General features: G+C 37.4%; 2 protein-coding genes and 1 pseudogene across 9 annotated transcripts in view, besides 1 other annotated feature; 2 read left to right on the plus strand and 1 right to left on the minus strand.

The window, feature by feature from the left end:
• The window catches only part of CLEC2D (C-type lectin domain family 2 member D), a 29841-nt gene extending 15967 nt beyond the window's left edge, over positions 1 to 13874 (plus strand). For 2 of the 6 annotated variants that reach the window (NM_013269.6, NM_001197317.3), the window contains 3 exons: positions 2223 to 2407; positions 7149 to 7252; positions 9081 to 13874. In NM_013269.6, the coding sequence (NP_037401.1) occupies positions 2223 to 2407; positions 7149 to 7252; positions 9081 to 9195 (404 nt within the window). In that variant the 3' untranslated portion in view covers positions 9196 to 13874. Of the gene's footprint in view, positions 1 to 2222; positions 2483 to 7148; positions 7253 to 7354; positions 7437 to 9080 lie in introns of all 6 variants that reach the window. The other 4 variants (NM_001197318.3, NM_001197319.3, NM_001004419.5 and 1 more) reach the window with 3 other exon arrangements.
• Positions 9689 to 10870, plus strand: NPM1P7 (nucleophosmin 1 pseudogene 7; annotated as a pseudogene).
• Positions 16493 to 16542: an enhancer, noted in NCBI's record as "active region_5948". NCBI's record gives its function as "activates an Ori minimal core promoter by ATAC-STARR-seq in GM12878 lymphoblastoid cells {active_cell/tissue: GM12878}" and the evidence as "EXISTENCE:reporter gene assay evidence [ECO:0000049][PMID:35858748]".
• Positions 16503 to 17360, minus strand: part of CLECL1 (C-type lectin like 1) — a 32165-nt gene continuing 31307 nt past the window's right edge. For all 3 annotated transcript variants that reach the window (NM_001441809.1, NM_001441810.1, NM_001441811.1), the window contains one exon: positions 16503 to 16761. In NM_001441809.1, coding sequence (NP_001428738.1) covers positions 16720 to 16761 — 42 coding nt within the window. In that variant the 3' untranslated portion in view covers positions 16503 to 16719. The remainder of the gene's footprint in view (positions 16762 to 17360) is intronic.

The following is a 17360-nucleotide window of genomic DNA, read 5'->3' on the forward strand; positions in this document are numbered from 1 at the left end:
TCAGTAATGGCGGATGCACCTCCCCTCACCAAGCTTGAGCATCTGGGGTCCACTTCAGACTGCTGTGCTGGCAGCAAGAATTTCCAGCCAGTGGGTCTTAGCTTGCTGGGCTCTGTGGGGATTGGACCCACTGAGCAAGACCACTTGGCTCCCTGGCTTCAGCCCCCTTTCCAGCAGAGTGAATGATTCTGTCTCAGTGGGTTCCAGGCTCCACTGGGGTATGAAAAAAACTCCTGCAGTTATCTTGGTGACTGCCCAAATCGCCACCCAGTTTTGTGCTTGAAACCCAGGGTTCTGGTAGTGTTGGCACTCCAGAGAATCTCCTGGTCTGTGGGTTGCAAAAACCGTGGGAAAAGCGTAGTATCTGGGCCAGATAGCACCTCACAGCACAGTCCCTCACAACTTCCCTTGGCTAGGGGAGGGAGTTCTCCCACCCCTTGTGCTTCCTGGGTGAAGCAGCGCCCCACCCTGCTTCTGCTTGCCCTCTGTGGGCTGCACCCACTTGTGTAACCAGTCCCAGTGAGATGATCCTGGTACCTCAGTTGGAAATGCAGAAATCACCTGCCTTCTGCATTGGTCTCACTGGGAACTGCAGACCAGAGCTGTTTCTAATCAGCCATCTTGCCCTCTCTGGTCTGGTCGTTTTCTTTAAATTGGTTGATACAGGAGCAGTGATAGCACAACAAATATGCACAGATTTGGGGAAAGTCATCCTGCATTATGGTCTGGTTCAAGAAATTACATTTTAATAGTTATAATTTGGTATCACCTTGTTTGTGATACCAAACCAGATACAATACACGTTTGCCTCATGTTATGATTTGTTATTCAGATTACACCAGTTATTATTCATAACTAAGAGTGATTTCTCATCTCACAAGAGCCAAATCCAAGGATAATGGTGCCAATTGATAGTAATGATTCTATGAATACCCAGCATTCTGGTCTATCATAGACACTTTCAGAACCATTGAGTTGAAGGTAGAAGGTGGTTATATAATAGAAGATGAACTGGTAGCTACTAGGGGCTCAGTGACAACTATCTGGAGAGACATTCATTCATCTCGATCCCACATGAAGAGAGCATTTCTCCTGATTATATAAGAAGTGGGTCAGAAAAGCCTGTCCAGTGAAGTATTGCTGCCTTCAAAGTGTAGAAAACCTCACTAAATCTCCTTAGTGGAAGGAAGTTCACTGTACAACAACTTATTTCATATTTATGATAGTATTTAGACATATACAAGGCTTTTTCACATCAAGAAACCTTATTCACATAAGGCATCTCTATCCTGCCCTTCATTTTACCAAGTCATCTGGAGCAGCAATCGCCAACCTTGTTGGCATGAGGGACCAGTTTTGTGAAAGACAACGTTTTCATGGACTGGGGTCAAGGAATGGTTTGGGGATAATTTAAGTGCATTACTTTTATTGTGCCCTTTATTTCCATTATTATTACATTGTGTAATAATATATAATAAAATAATTATACAACTCACCATAATGTAGAATCAGTGGGAACCCTGAGCTAGTTTTTCTGAAAGTAGATGGTACCATCTGTGAGTGATGGGAGACAGTGACAGTTCATCAGGTATTAGATTCTCACAAGGAGCCCACAACCTAGATTCCTCACATGAGAAGTTCCCAATAGGGTTTGCCCTCCTATGAGAATCTAATGCCACTGCTGATCTGACAGGAGGTGGAGCTCATGAGGTAATGTGAGTGATGGGGAGTGGCTGTAAATACAGATGAAGCTTCACTTACTCATTCGCTGCTTACCTCCTGCTGTGCAGCCTGCTTCCTGACTCATCCATGGACCAGTACTGATCCATGGCCTAGGGGTTGGGGACCCCTAATCTAGAGCACTTGGAGAACTATCTGTTCTCCAAAGCTGATCAAATGCTATCATTAATGTATCTAATATTTTAAGAAAGGGTAACACTGTTGAGAGCCAAATAGATACATGGCCCAGAGCAAGCTTAAGTTACTAATAACTCCTTTTTCAGCTCACCCCCTGCTGAAGGCATGAGTTTGAATCTCAGTTTTGCCATTTGCTGTGTAATGTATGCAATTATATTTAGCATCATATTTCTCACTTGAAAAATGAAAATAATACATTTAATACTTAACAGGAGTGTCAGAAAGTATATTAGCACTTGGTAATTTATACAATACAATATAAAAGTAAGAAATTTTTATTTTATTTATTTTTATTTTATTTTCAGCAATAAGAGCTAACTGCCATCAAGAGCCATCAGTATGTCTTCAAGCTGCATGCCCAGAAAGCTGGATTGGTTTTCAAAGAAAGTGTTTCTATTTTTCTGATGACACCAAGAACTGGACATCAAGTCAGAGGTTTTGTGACTCACAAGATGCTGATCTTGCTCAGGTTGAAAGCTTCCAGGAACTGGTAAGAAAATAGTTCTGGCCAGAATCAAAGATTCAGCCCTACAAGGATATGTTTTCCTGTGAAATTATCTAAGAGGTAGGTTTAGACATCTGCTTTTACATTGATTTTTTTTTTTTTTTTTTTTTTTTGCATAACGAAAGAGTAACCTAGCATGTATTATATTTTACAGTGAACCATCTAAAATTACCTTAATATTCGTGGCAGGAACAGGCCCAGAGGGCAAGCAAGCCAGAGCCTTCTTTGACTTGTGAGCCAGAATTGTGCAAATAAGGATTAGAAAAGTATTGGTAGAAACCCAGTTTTAAGTTTGTATGAAGTTAGCAACATTGTTTCAAAATAAATCAAACAAGGCCAAGAGCAGTGGCACATGCCTGTAATCCCAGCACTTTGGGAGGCCAAGGCGGGTGTATCACTTGAGGTCAGGAGTTTGAGATCAGCCTGGCCAACATGGTGAAACCCCATCTCAACTAAAAAATACAAAAATTAGCTGGGCATGGTGGCATACGCCTGTAGTTCCAGCTACTCAGGAGGCTGAGGCAGCAGAATTGCTTGAACCTGGGAGGTGGAGGCCTACAGTTAGCTGAAATCATGCTACTGTACTCCAGCCTAACAGAGTGAGACTCTATCTCAAAAAAATAATAAAATAAAAACAATAAGTCAAGCAAGAATGATGTCATAGAGGTTGGTAGACTAAAAAGCTACAGAAATCTGTTCCTCCACTGAGAAAACTATTGAACTGTCAAAAACTGTCTGAAGTAACTATTTTGGAATTCTCGAGTCTAGTTAAACACTGGAAGCATCAAGGGAAGAGTTTGATAAAGAGGATGATAAATTTTGGTTAATGTTGGTGAATTTCAGCCTTTCCACTCAATAATAACTATTTTCCATACCCCATTATTGCAGGGATCCATGGGAACTGCTGCCCATGTTCTTGTAATGAATTCCTGCAGCCAGGGTGAACAATAAGCACCTTTTTGTCCAAATGTCAGGGTTATTGCTGATTTCTGCCTTTGAATGCTGAGGGGCAGACACAGAAGTGGGCTATCATTGCATCAGTCCTCATCAGCTGAAGTGGCTTCCCAAGGATTTAAATAAATAGTATGTGTTTTTCCTCCCTTTAGGAAGCAGTCATTTAAGACAATTTTTATTAGATAACTGGCTGACAGCAGAGATAACAGAACAGAGATTTCAATGACCATGCACAACAGAGAATAAAAATAGTTGGGAAAAAATCATGACCAAATGACTCTGAGCCACAACAACCAAGATTTGACAATCCCTGAAGAGCAAAATAATTAAGTTACCAGAGTTACCACAACATAGTATTCATAATGTCCAGTTCTCAAAAAAAAATTACAAAACATGCAAAGAAAAGTATGGTTCATTCACAGGAAGAAAAAGTAATCTGACAGAAACTATCCCTGAAGAGGCTCAGATATTAAAAATATGAGTCAAAAATGTTAAATCAGCTGTCTTAAGTATAACCAATGAGTTAAAGGAAACTAGACAAAAAGCTAAAGGAAACCGAAAACATAATAAATGAACAAAATTAGAATATCAATATAAAGGTAGAAATTGTAAAAAAGAACCAAGCAAAAATTCCAGAGCTGAAAAGTACAATGACTGAAATTTAAAAATAATTTTAAAAACTCAATGAAGAAGTTCAACAGCAGATTTGAGAAGTAAGAGATCAGAAAACTTGAAAATAAGATAATTGAAACAATCCAGACTAAGAAAAACAAAGAAAAAGAATGAAGATAAATAAATTCTAAGGAACCTGTAGGACATCAGCAAACATACTAACATATGTACTGTAGAAATCCAGGAAAGAGAAGAGAAAGAGAAGCAGAGAAATACACTTAAAGAAATAATGAACAAAACTTTCCAAAATCTGAGGAAATACATAAATATATACATCCAAGAGGCTCAATGAACTCCAAAAGGGTAAACTTAAAGAGATCTACATTGAGACAAAATATAGTCAAGTTGACAAAATCCACAGAGAGAATTTTGAAAGCAGCCAGAATGAAGCAACTCATCATTTACATAAGACCCTGAATAAAATTAATAGCTGATTTTCTCTGAGAAACCATGGAGATCAGAAGGTAGTGGAATGGCATATTTAAATGTCTGAAAGAAAAAATAAAACTGCCAACCATGAATTCTATGTATAGCAAAGTTGTCCTTCAAGAATGAAGGAAAAAGTAACACATTTTCAGATAACCAATAATTAAGGGATTTTATTACCAGTAGACATGTGCTACAGAAAATGCTAAAGGAAACCTTTTAGGCTGAACTGAAAGTACACTAGACAGCAATTCAGAGCCTCCAAAATAAAGAATATTCATAAAAGTAACAATAGAGGTAAATATAAAACCCAGAATTACTACATGTGTCATATAGTTTATAACTTCTCCTATTTATAGCTTTCTATATTTATATTTATCTATAACTTCATAGGCAAATGAATAAAAATTATAAATATGATAGTGGTCATATAATGTATAAAGATGCAATCTGTGACAGTCTTATGAAGCAGGGATGAAGACATATAGGATCAAAATGTTTGCATAGTTATTGAAGCTATGTTGATATTATGAAATTATATTGTTACAAGTTTAAGATGCTAATTATAATTCTCAAGGTAACCACTAATAAAATTACCAAAATTATGCAGAAAAGGAAAAAAGAAAAACAATACACTATAAAAAACCAATTAAATACAAAAAAAGTCAGTAACAGACAACTTGAGAAACAAAGACATATAAGATATAGAGAAAACAAATGATTAAATGGCAAAAGTAAATCTTGTTTTAGTAATCACATTAAATAGAAAAGGATGAAGCCATCCTATTAAAGGGCTGAGACTGACAAGTTGGCTAAAAACTAAAATAAATTAAAAAGAAAAACAAGACTCATCTACATGCTGTCTATAAGAGACTTGCCTTAGATATAAGGACACAAAGAAGTTGAAAGTAAAAGGACTGAAAAAGATATTCCATACAAACAGTAGTAACCAAGATAGTGCCGAGTGGCTATATTTTTGTCAAACAAAATAAACTAAAGTAAAATTTACAAGAGAAAAAGAAGGGCATTATGCATTGACAAAAATTTTGACATAGCCAAATAATTATGTTATAAAATATATGTACTTAATAATACAGCCTCAAAATATATGAAGCAATAATTGCTATAATTTAAGGGAGAAAAGAACAGTTCTATGAAAAGTTAGAGAATGAAATATTCCACTTTCAACATGAGATTAAACAACTAGACATAAGATCAATAAGGAAATAGAAAATTTGAACAACACTATAAACCAATTATCCCTAACAGGCATATACAGAAGAATCTACCCAACAAGAGCAGAATATTAATTCTTCTCAAATGCACATGGAACATTCTTAAACCATATGTTAGGCCACAAAACAAGTGTTAGTAAGTGTGAAAATTTGAAGTCATAAAAAGTATCTTTTGCAATTACAATGGAATGAAGCTAGAAATCAATAACTAGAAAAACCAGAAAAGTCACGCATATGTAGAAATTTAAAAACCCGCTCTTCAACAGCCATTGGTCAAAGAAGAAATCACAAGGGACATTAGAAAATACCTTGAGACAAATGAAGTAAAAATACAAATAGCACGTTTATGGTATACACTGAACATAGTTCTAAGAGGGAAATTTATAGCTGTGAGCAGTTAACTAAAAAAGAAGAAAGATCTCAAATCCATAGCCTAACTGTACACTGTAAGGAACTAAAAAAAGTAAAACAAAAATAGAAGTCATCTTTATGATTTGAAAGAGTAAAAGATTTACCTAATAAGTCCCTAAATTTACTAATAATAAAGAAAATTGTTTATATATTTAATTGCGTTAAAATTCAGAACTTGTAATCATAAAAAGGACAGTACACATTGACAAGGAAACACAGCAAAGGAAACCAGCCTATGCTGCTGCTGTTGTGAGGATAATTTGGTACACTTACATTAGTTTGGTGTCTTTTCTTTCTCTTTCTTTCTTTCTTTCTTTCTCTTTCTTTCGTTCGTTCGTTCGTTCGTTTCTTTTTGAGACAGAATCTCACTCTATTGCCCAGGCTGGAGTGCAGTGGCGTGATCTTGGCTCACTACAACTTTTGTCTCCCAGGTTCAAATGATTCTCATGCCTCAGCCTCCCAAATAGCTGGGATTACAGGTGCATGCCATCACGCCCAGCTAATTTTTGTATTTTTTTTAATAGAGAGGGGGCTTCATCATGTTGGCCAAGCCTAGTCTCAAACTCTTGGCCTCAGGTGATCCGCCTGCCTCGGCCTCCCAAAGTACTGGGATTACAGGTGCTTGGCCTGGTGGTGTCATTTCTTAAAGTTGACAAAAAGCATATCCTGGGGCCTAAAAATTCTATTCTAGGACAGGTGCCAAGAATGTCATAGTAGCATACATTCCAAACTTGATAAAACCCTGGTGTCAACCGATAGTATAATAGATAAATTGGAGAAGAGTCATACAAAGGAGTACAATACAGAAACAAAAGTAACCAAATTATCAACAATTTCTCTCAGTTTTAAATTATCTTCTTTTGATATGTATGATAATATAGCACACCTATTCTGTATGTATTACTAAACAATACAAAATCAAAAGGAAGAAAATTATGAGTAGTTAAGAATATAGCATAGCAGCAACATTTCTGGGAGAGGATGGGTTATGTTAGATTAATGAATATCATCTCTGTGTTTTCTGAAAGAATTTCCTGTTGAGATATAAAGGCCCATCTGATCACTGGATTGGGCTGAGCAGAGAACAAGGCCAACCATGGAAATGGATAAATGGTACTGAATGGACAAGACAGTAAGTTCTAAAAATCTGGCAGTAATATTTGTATTTGAATTTACTTTGCATTAAATCTGAAGTGTTCTCTAGTTACATGCTTTAAAAAATTCTCATTTTAAGGTTAGTCATGAAAGAAGATGGTGCCAACTTGTATGTTGCAAAGGTTTCACAAGTTCCTCGAATGAATCCAAGACCTGTCATGGTGAGGTAGACTGACTGTGAACTTGGCTCCAGGCTTATCTATGTCATTTTCAAACACTTTCATTTTAAGCAAACCATACAATATCTTTAAGTCTGTTCCTTACCTCCACAACAAAATTAAATTGCACTTGTCCTCCTGATTTCACAGGGTTGATGTGAGGAACAGAGGTTTTGATGTATCAGGGAAAGATTATGAGTGACAGCAATTATACCTATTATTTAAAATAAGACAATAGTTTTAAAATTTTAAAATGGGTAAAGTTTGGCACTAGAAAATTTAATCTCAATTGTATATTTATAGGATCTTCAGATTACTAAAAAGATTTGAGATAATGCTGGAAAAATTGGATTCACACAATTTCACTCAATGTTTGTCTGAGAGATGAGACAGTTTTGAAAAGCTACTTTATTGTAATACATTCATCAATATTGGAAATATAACTTTATTTAATAAAAAGAGCCCCAGACTGGACATTGGCAGGTTTGAAATGAGTTTTTTCTCATTAGCTTTTGACCTTGGATGGGATGGTAAGTTTTAGAAATCAGAGAACATGTACATTTATACATTGTTGTATCTACACTGCCTTGCACATTGTGACTGCTTCATAAATATCTAGAATTAACTTTTATTTCTTATTTTACAATACGGAAGTAGTAAATTTTCTCTACCTAATTCTTAAAATGGTTTTTTGTTTGTTTGTATTTTTGAGAGACAGGGTCTTACTCTGTTACCCAGGCTGGAGTGCAGTAGTACCATCGTGGCTCACTGCAGCCTTGACTTCCCTGGCTCAAGTGAGCCTCCCATCTCAGCCTCCTGAGTAGCTGGGACTACAGGTGTGTGCCACCTTGCTTGGCTTTTTTTTTTTTTTTTTTTTTTTTTTCAGCGATGGGGTCTCACTATGTTGCCTGGGCTGATCTTGAACTCCTGAGCTCAAGCAATCCTCCCACCTCGGCCTCCCAAAATGTTGGAATTACAGGTGTGAGCCACCATGCCTGGCCTCTCAAAATATTTTAAGGATCAAATATATTATTAACTAACCAGTTTTTGGAAACTGCTCATCACTTAAAGAAATGTAAAATATTATATGATTAAGGTCTAACAAGTTTCAACAATTAGCAAATTATATCATAGATGATAGTGATTCCAATGAGCAAAGAGGAAAAATTTATAATCCAAATGCTGACCTAAAATATCTGTGCCAAGCCATCTAAACTCAGCTAAATAGCACTGCAGTTTCAGTACTAAAACCACCAGGGAAGTAGGAGGAATAAAATCAAGCATGGTTTTTAGAAATAGCTGCTGAGTCTTCAGTTATTTAAGGAAGCAAAATATTGGGAAACTGTGTAAAGAAAACGTGTCAGACTTCTCCCATCAGCCAGCTAAGGCTTTGGATGTACTTGAAAGAATATTATGCTTACAGACATGAAATAGGTTTGATTCAGGACTTTGCAGTATTCCTATAGTTGATTTATAACATCTCCTGCTAAGCAAAGCCCACTGACTAATTAGTCACCACTACACAAGGAAAAACAGCATTATTTTTAGAGGCTGAATTAATGTTAGTTTTCTCATTTTCTCATCTTCATTCTCTCTGCTGTTGAAGAAATGTTCAGTGGCCAACTGATTCTGCTTCTTCTCTTGCAGGTTTCCTATCCTGGGAGCAGGAGAGTGTGCCTATTTGAATGACAAAGGTGCCAGTAGTGCCAGGCACTACACAGAGAGGAAGTGGATTTGTTCCAAATCAGATATACATGTCTAGATGTTACAGCAAAGCCCCAACTAATCTTTAGAAGCATATTGGAACTGATAACTCCATTTTAAAATGAGCAAAGAATTTATTTCTTATACCAACAGGTATATGAAAATATGCTCAATATCACTAATAACTGGGAAAATACAAATCAAAATCATAGTAAAATATTACCTGTTTTCATGGTGCTAATATTACCTGTTCTCCCACTGCTAATGACATACCCGAGACTGAGTAATTTATAAATAAAAGAGATTTAATTGACTCATAGTTCCACATGGCTGGGGAGGTCTTGCAATCATGACAGAAGGCAAATGGGAAGCAAAGTCATGTCTTATGTGGTGGCAGGCAGGGGGACTTGTGCACAGGAACTCCTATTTATACAACCATCAGATATCTTGAGACAAGAACAGTATGGGGCTCCCTGGTGTGATTCCGTCCTGCGCGGCTGTTCTCTGGAGCAGCATTCATTTATCTTCGTCTGCCTTGTCTCCTACCTAAGTGTGTGTCGCCACCCGATGGAAGATTCGATGGACATGGACATGAGCCCCCTGAGGCCCCAGAACTATCTTTTCAGTTGTGAACTAAAGGCCGACAAAGATGATCACTTTAAGGTGGATAATGATGAAAATGAGACCAGTTATCTTTAAGAACGGTCAGCTCAGGGGCTGGTGCAAAGGATGAACTGCACATTGTTGAAGCAGAGGCCATGAATGACGAAGGCAGTCCAATTAAAGTAACACTGGCAACTTTGAAAATGTCTGTACAGCCAACGGTTTCTCTTGGGGGCTTTGAAATAACACCACCAGTGGACTTAAGGTTGAAGTGTGGTTCAGGGCCAGTGCATATTAGTGGACAGCACTTAGTAGCTGTGAAGGAAGGTGCAGAGTCAGAAGATGAAGAAGAGGAGGATGTGAAACTCTTAAGTATATCTGGAAAGCAGTCTGCCCCTGGAGGTGGGCAGAAAAAAGTAAAACTTGCTGCTGCTGCTGATGATGATGATGATGAAGATGATGATGATGATGATGACGAGGAAGCTGAAGAAAAAGCGCCAGTGAAGAAATCTATACGAGATACTCCAGCCAAAAATGCACAAAAGTCAAATCAGAATGGAAAAGACTCAAAACCATCATCAACACCAAGATCAAAAGGACAAGAATCCTTCAAAAAACAGGAAAAATCTCCTAAAACACCAAAAGGATCTAGTTCTGTAGAAGACATTAAAGCAAAAATGCAAGCAAGTATAGAAAAACGTGGTTCTCTTCCCAAAGTGGAAACCAAGTTCATCAATTATGTGAAGAATTTCTTCTGGATGACTGACCAAGAGGCTATTCAAGATCTCTGGCAGTGGAGGAAGTCTCTTTAAGAAAATAGTTTAAACAATTTGTTAAAAATTTTCCATCTTATTTCATTTCTGTAACAGTTGATATCTGGCTGTCCTTTTTATAGTGCAGAGTGAGAACTTTCCCTACCATGTTTGATAAATGTTGTCCAGGTTCTATTGCCAAGAATGTGTTGTCCAAAATGCCTGTTTAGTTTTTAAAGATGGAACTCCACCCTTTGCTTGGTTTTAAGTATGTATGGGATGCTATGATAGGACATAGTAGTAGCAGTGGTCAGACATGGAAATGGTGGGGAGACAAAAGTATACACGTGAAATAAAACTCAGTATTTTAATAAAGTAAAAAAAAAAAAAAAGGTATGGGGAAAACTGCCCCCATAAAGCAATTGTCTCCACCTGGCCCTGCCCTTTGCATGTGGAGATTATTACAATTCAAGGTGAAATTTGGGTGGAGACACAACCAAACCATATCAGATGGCTATATCAAAAAGACAAGAAATAACAAGCATTGGTGAGAGTGTGGAGAAGACGGAACCCTTGTACACAGTTGGTGGGAACACAGTTTGGTGCAGCCATTATAGAAAACGTCATGGAGGTTCCTAAAGAAATTAAAAAGAGAACTACCATATGAGCCAGCAATCCCTTTTCCAGATATACACCCAAAGGAAATGAAATCACCACCTCATAAAGATATCTGCTTTCCTGTTTATTATAACACATCTTTATTCATAATAGCCAAGATACGGAACTAACTGAAGTGACCATTAACAGATGAATGGATAAAGAAATTGTCATATATATAAAACACACACATTATATACATACATACATATATATATATATATAAAAAATAGAATATTATTCAGCCTTGTAAAAAGAAATCCTGTTATGTTGGGAACAAGCCCCCCAAAATCTGGCCATAAACTCACCCCAAAACTGGCCATAAACAAAATCTCTGCAGCACTGTGACATGTTAGTGATGGCCATAACACCCACGCTGGAAGGTTGTGGGTTTATGGGAATGAGGGCAAGGAACACCTGGCCTGCCCAGGGTGGAAAACCACTTAAAGGCGTTCTTAAGCTACAAACAATAGCATGAGCGATCTGTGCCTTAAGGACATGTTCCTGCTGCAGTTAACTAGCCCAATCTATTCCTTTAATTCGGCCCATCCCTTCATTTCCCATAAGGGATACTTTTAGTTAATTTAATATCTATAGAAACAATGCTAATGACTGGCTTGCTGTTAATAAATACATGGGTAAATCTCTGTTCTGGGCTCTCAGCTCTGAAGGCTGTGAGACCCCTGATTTCCCACTTCACACCTCTATATTTCTGTGTGTGTGTCTTTAGTTCCTCTGGCGCTGCTGGGTTAGGATCTACCCGACTGAGCTGGTCTCAGCACTGTTATTTGAAACAATGTAAATAAACCTATAGGGTTTATTATATATACTAAGTGAAATAAGCCAGACACAGAAAAAAAATGTTGCATGATCTCACTTATAGTGAAACTTAAAAAAAAAACCCAAATACATAGAAATAGAGTAGAATGGTGGTTACCAGAGATGAGGAAAATACAGAGACACAGGTCAAAAGATACAGAGTTGCAGTTACAAAGGGTGAGTATGTCTAGATATCTAACATACAGTATGAGGACTATAATAGTATTGCACTGTGTACTGAAAACTTGATGACAGATTTTAGATATTCTTACCACACAGACAAAAAGAAATGTAAGTATGTGAGATGAAGCTTATGTTAATTAGATTAAGTGTATGTACATAAAAACATCACATTATACACATCAAATATATACAATAAAAAAGCACATTGGGAGATACATGATAAATTTCTATCTGCAGTTGCTATTTGCATTTTTAAAGGATATTTTTATTTTTTAAATTTTTAGCTGACAACTGTATAATTATGGAATACAATGTGATGTTCTGATATATGTGTACACTATGGAATGATTAAATCAAACTAACATTTCATCATCTCACATACTTATCATTTTCTGTGGTGAGAACATTTGAAATTTATTCTCTTGACAATTTTGAAAGATCCAATACACTATTATTAACTATAGTCACTATGCTGTGCAATAGATCTCAAAAGCTTATTCCTCTTAACTGAAACCTACTACCCTGTGACATGTGGGGAACATCTCTCTATTCCCCAGCCCCAGTCCCTAAATGTTGAATACACAATGGGGAAAAAATAGTCTTCAATGAATGGTGGTGGGAAAATTGTATATCCACATGCAGAAGAATAAAATTGGACCCTTACCTCCTACCATATATAAAAACCAACTGAAAATCGATTAAAGACTTAAACTGTAAAACTACTAAAAGAAAATATAGGGAGAAAGCTTCACAACGTTGGTCTGGGCAATAATTTTTGGATTTGACCTCAAAAGTAGATGCAACCACAGTGAAAATAAACAAATGAAATTGCATAAAATAAAAAATGTTTCTGCACAGCAAAGGAAATAATTAATGGAGTAAAGAGACAACTTACAGATTGGGAGAATATATTTCCAAACTATTGTTGGGGCTCAGAAACGGATACCCTAACATATAGTGATTTGACAGGTGGAACTAAAGAAGACTCGAGGTCTCTCTGACCTCCTCCTCAACCTCTGTTTCTTAATCCTCTGTTTTCCCAGAGCACAGGAGGAAGTTCTCTGAAGTTCCTTTATCTGCTTTAAGTTCAGACTCACCAAATAAGAAAACAGTTAATTCTGGTGCCTTCCATGGGTTTTCATTAACTGAAGTCATATTGTAGGAAAAAGAATGAAGTCTCTTAACCCACCTGGATAGATTTTTCTCACAAACCATTGTCTTCTCTGCAAGCCCAGTAGACTTTGTCCCAGGCCATTTATGTGATCTTCACCCCATTAAGTTCTCCCCAAATTATTTACTCTTCCCCCAAAATCACCCACACTTCCCCATCTCCCTCTCCCCTAAGGACAAGGGTATATCACCATCTATACCCCATTGCTTGGTGGGGTGATCACTCTGATTCTCTGCATGCATTTTTATAGATTTGTTTGCCATTTATCCTATTAATCTGCATTCTGTCAATTGTGGCAAGTTATCAGCATATTTTTTAACTTTTAATTATTCTTAATGGAAAGACACTTCTGTATACACTGGAAATCTCAGGAAATTTCTTTTTTCCTTAAGCTTAATTGAAATGTTTACTTTTCAGTAAAATTTCAAGCTTGAGTAATGTTCATGCCTGCTTTTCATTGAAATAGAATGAAAAGGTTGCACAATATTATTTTCATGAAATTACTTCTAGTATAATTCTGAATAAACACTTTGAAAGGCAGTGAACTGTAAATATATTACAGCTATCTCTTATTCTTCAGGGTGGGTCTCAATTATGTAAAAGATGATTGGCTTTCTGTTTTAAGTAATAGTCATTTTGAAAACACTTTAAAACTGTCAAGTGAAGTGTGATGGCTAATTTTATATGTCAACTTGACTGAGATAAGGTATACTCAGCAGGGAAAGCATTATCTCTGGATGTGTCTATGAGGGCTTTTCTGAAAGAGATTGATGTTGGAATCACTAAGCTGTGTAAAGATGATCTACCTTCACCAATGTTGGCAGGCATCATCCAATCCGTGCAGGTCTTACCCAAACAGAGCAAAAAGTCAGGTAGGGTAAATTTATTCTCTTCTAAAGCTAGGGCATCCATTTCTTTCTACTCTCAGACATTGGAGTTCCCCAGTTTCCCAGACCTTTGGCCTTACACTGAGAATTATGCTTTGTTTTATTTAGGCATATTTTAATAATACTTCATGTATTGGTCAGGAAGACATTTCCTGGTTCTAAGGCTTTCGACTCAGACTAGATTACAACACTGGCTTTCCTGGTTCTCTAGCTTGCAGAAGAGAATACTAGGAAGCTTGTACTTCCTACATAGGTAAGAAGAGGAAACAATCTCTGGCTTAGAAACTATGTAACCAACCACAATTCACAAAGATTCCATAATTTCCTTGGCAGGAGGCTAAGATCTAAAGCCCAATATGATTGTACTTCTCTTATCAGTTTTCTGCAAACAAAAGAGAATAGAACTAAAATACAGCTTTGTTAAAATAATGTTGATTCATTTGCATGAAATATCAGATCACAGAAAAAACATATTTTTATAAAATATGAGCTCTGTCACACTGGCCCTCATAGACACATCCAGAGATAATGCTTTCCCTGCTGAGTATACCTTATCTCAATCAAGTTGACATATAAAATTAGCCATCACACTTCACTTGACAGTTTTAAAATTAGGTTGTTTTTTCCAAATGACAAAAAGCAGGAGCAAACTGCAAGTGCTCCTGCAACACATCTAACAAGAAAGCCTTATCTGACTTTTATGAGGTTCGGTATAATGCCCAAACTGCATATTTCAAACTCTTGCCATCAGATTCACCTAAGAAGACAAAAGATCTATTGCCTTTGAACCTACATTCCCAAAGCGTGCAACATGAACTTGCCTACATCCAAGGGGTAGGACCTTCTTACGTAGTGAATTCCCAAAGTGTTGCTGAAATTATGAACAGTGCTCTGCCTCATACTGACAAGTGAAACCTCTATCTCTGATTGCCCAAAAATGTCTAATGAAGCTATAGCATCACTACAATTTGGAATAGACACTTAATCCAGAATTGAAGAGATATAGATAAAAATGAACTGAGTGCAATGCCAAGAGATAGGATAAATATGGCCCCCTCCAAAAAAAGATCCTAAGTCCATGACAGTGGTGCTAGAGATTTCTCACAAAACTCCAAGGAGTAAAACAAGAAACTATAAAGACAGATGGAGAACCACATGTTATGGTACATCATATAAACAACGAAGAGATGGTAGTCAATTGTGTAAGAATCTCGAAGTTGTTGGGTTCAAATAAAGAGAATTATGAAATGAAATAAGTATCCAATTAACACAGGAAATAATATGAACAATGGGGTTAGGAGAACAGAGATCAATGTAAGAGATGTTTCCAAAAGTAATGATGTTGTCATGGAAGTTGGCAGATGATCAAATTATCAGGTATGTAAAACTGATCATGAAGGTGTTCCAAGGAAATTACTCTAATTGTTTCATCAATATTGAACCCAAAATTAAATCAACCCAAACATAGAAAAGGAAAAAAAAAAAGGCAAAAGGCACAGTGTAATGATGCTCTCTTTACTCCTTTGGAAGGGATTGATAAAATTGCAACTACTTCTTGTATAAAGAATCATCCATTTTATAGATGACTACAAATTCAATCCTAAACCTTCAAATACAATGAAAAGAAAGTATGTACTGAGAGCTGGAATGACTACTCACCTAGGCCAAAGTCTCACCTAGGAATGAAGCATCAGGCACACAGTGCACTGAGCATGGCTGAAGGTGCATTGACTAATCTTCTAAAACCTACTCCAGAATGAGAGAGACTGGTACAACTCCATTTGTGCTAAATTTGGAGATATAAACAATATTTTGGAGTTAAAACCTAGAAGTTTTCAAATCTACATAAAAAATCAATTTCTTTTTTTTCTTGCAAAAGCAGAAAAGATGAGAGGACATTGGCACCTGCCAAGAGTGTTGATGAAATGGGGTACTTCCCTGGCCTCTTTGCAGGAGTTGCAAAGGGGTTGGCTTGTTTACTCAGCCCACAGCTCTCAACCCCTCATGGGAGGGGAAACTCACAGGTGAGTGGGTGTAGGGATCAGGATGAGGGCTTCTGTGTGCCAGCAGGAGTAGAACTCTGTGCTGCCCCATGGCAACATCTAGGGGAGTTCCCATGACCCCTCAAGCCCCAGAGGGTGAGTGTTACAGTGTGCTCTTTTAGCTTTTCTATCCACAGATGACAAGTATTTAACAGCTCAGTGGAGGGTCAGGGTGACAGCCTTTTGGACCTGCCTTCTTGGTACCTCAGTTCTTGTTTAGCGTCCAGGAAGAATCAGGTCATGCAAACAAATTGAAGGGTAGTGAATGTGGAGGATTTTATTGAGGGATGGAAGTGGCTCTCAGCGGGATAGGGAGCTGGAAAGTGGATGGAATGGGAAGGTGGTATTCCCCTGGAGTTCAGACAAACTCTTCTCCGAGGTCCCACCATCAAGCTGTCCCTCTGAGCTCAAACTGCTTCTCTCTGACATCCGGCTGCTTCTTCTTTTCTTTCTTTCTCTGTCACTCTGCTATTCCGCTGCTCTGCTGCTCTGCCACTCTGGTGATGGGGCCTGTGGTTTTTATGGGTAGAGGATGGGGTGTGGGGTGGGCCAAAAAGCAACATGTGAGTGGGAAAGCAGGAAATGCATGTTCTCATTTTGGTCTGTGATCCCAGGCTTGAGGATGTGTGGCTCTTGCTTGGGACAGCCCTCTTCTGCCCAGTATTTCCCTGCTTCCCACCCATATCACCAACACTGCTCCTAACCCTACTCAAAAGGTACATTAAAATATAGAGGTGGAAAGTTATATGCTGCTTCTCTCAGAGCAAACCCTTTCTCTCTTATGTAAAATAACTAACTTTCCTCCACAGCATAATTTAAAAAGAAAACTAATGATGACATTAGTCAGAAATCTGTAGACATCTCTACTCCTCTAGTAACTCTGAAAACTGGGTCTGCTAATGAGTTGGTAGCATTAAATCTGAAGACTGAAAGTTTTCTATTCTGTTCCTTCTCTTTTTACCCTTACTTTAGTGGAACAGTAAATTTCAGTAAAATCAGTGAAGGTGTATCTGCCAAGGTTCCAATCAACACAGAGGAAGAGAAGACTTGTTCTATAACTAAACTAGTAGACAACCCAGAAAAATTATCTCTACTTATAATAAACAGAA

The sequence above is a fragment of the Homo sapiens genome, chromosome 12 (assembly GCF_000001405.40).
Source record: "Homo sapiens chromosome 12, GRCh38.p14 Primary Assembly".
In the NCBI taxonomy this organism is placed as follows: Eukaryota; Metazoa; Chordata; class Mammalia; order Primates; family Hominidae; genus Homo; species Homo sapiens.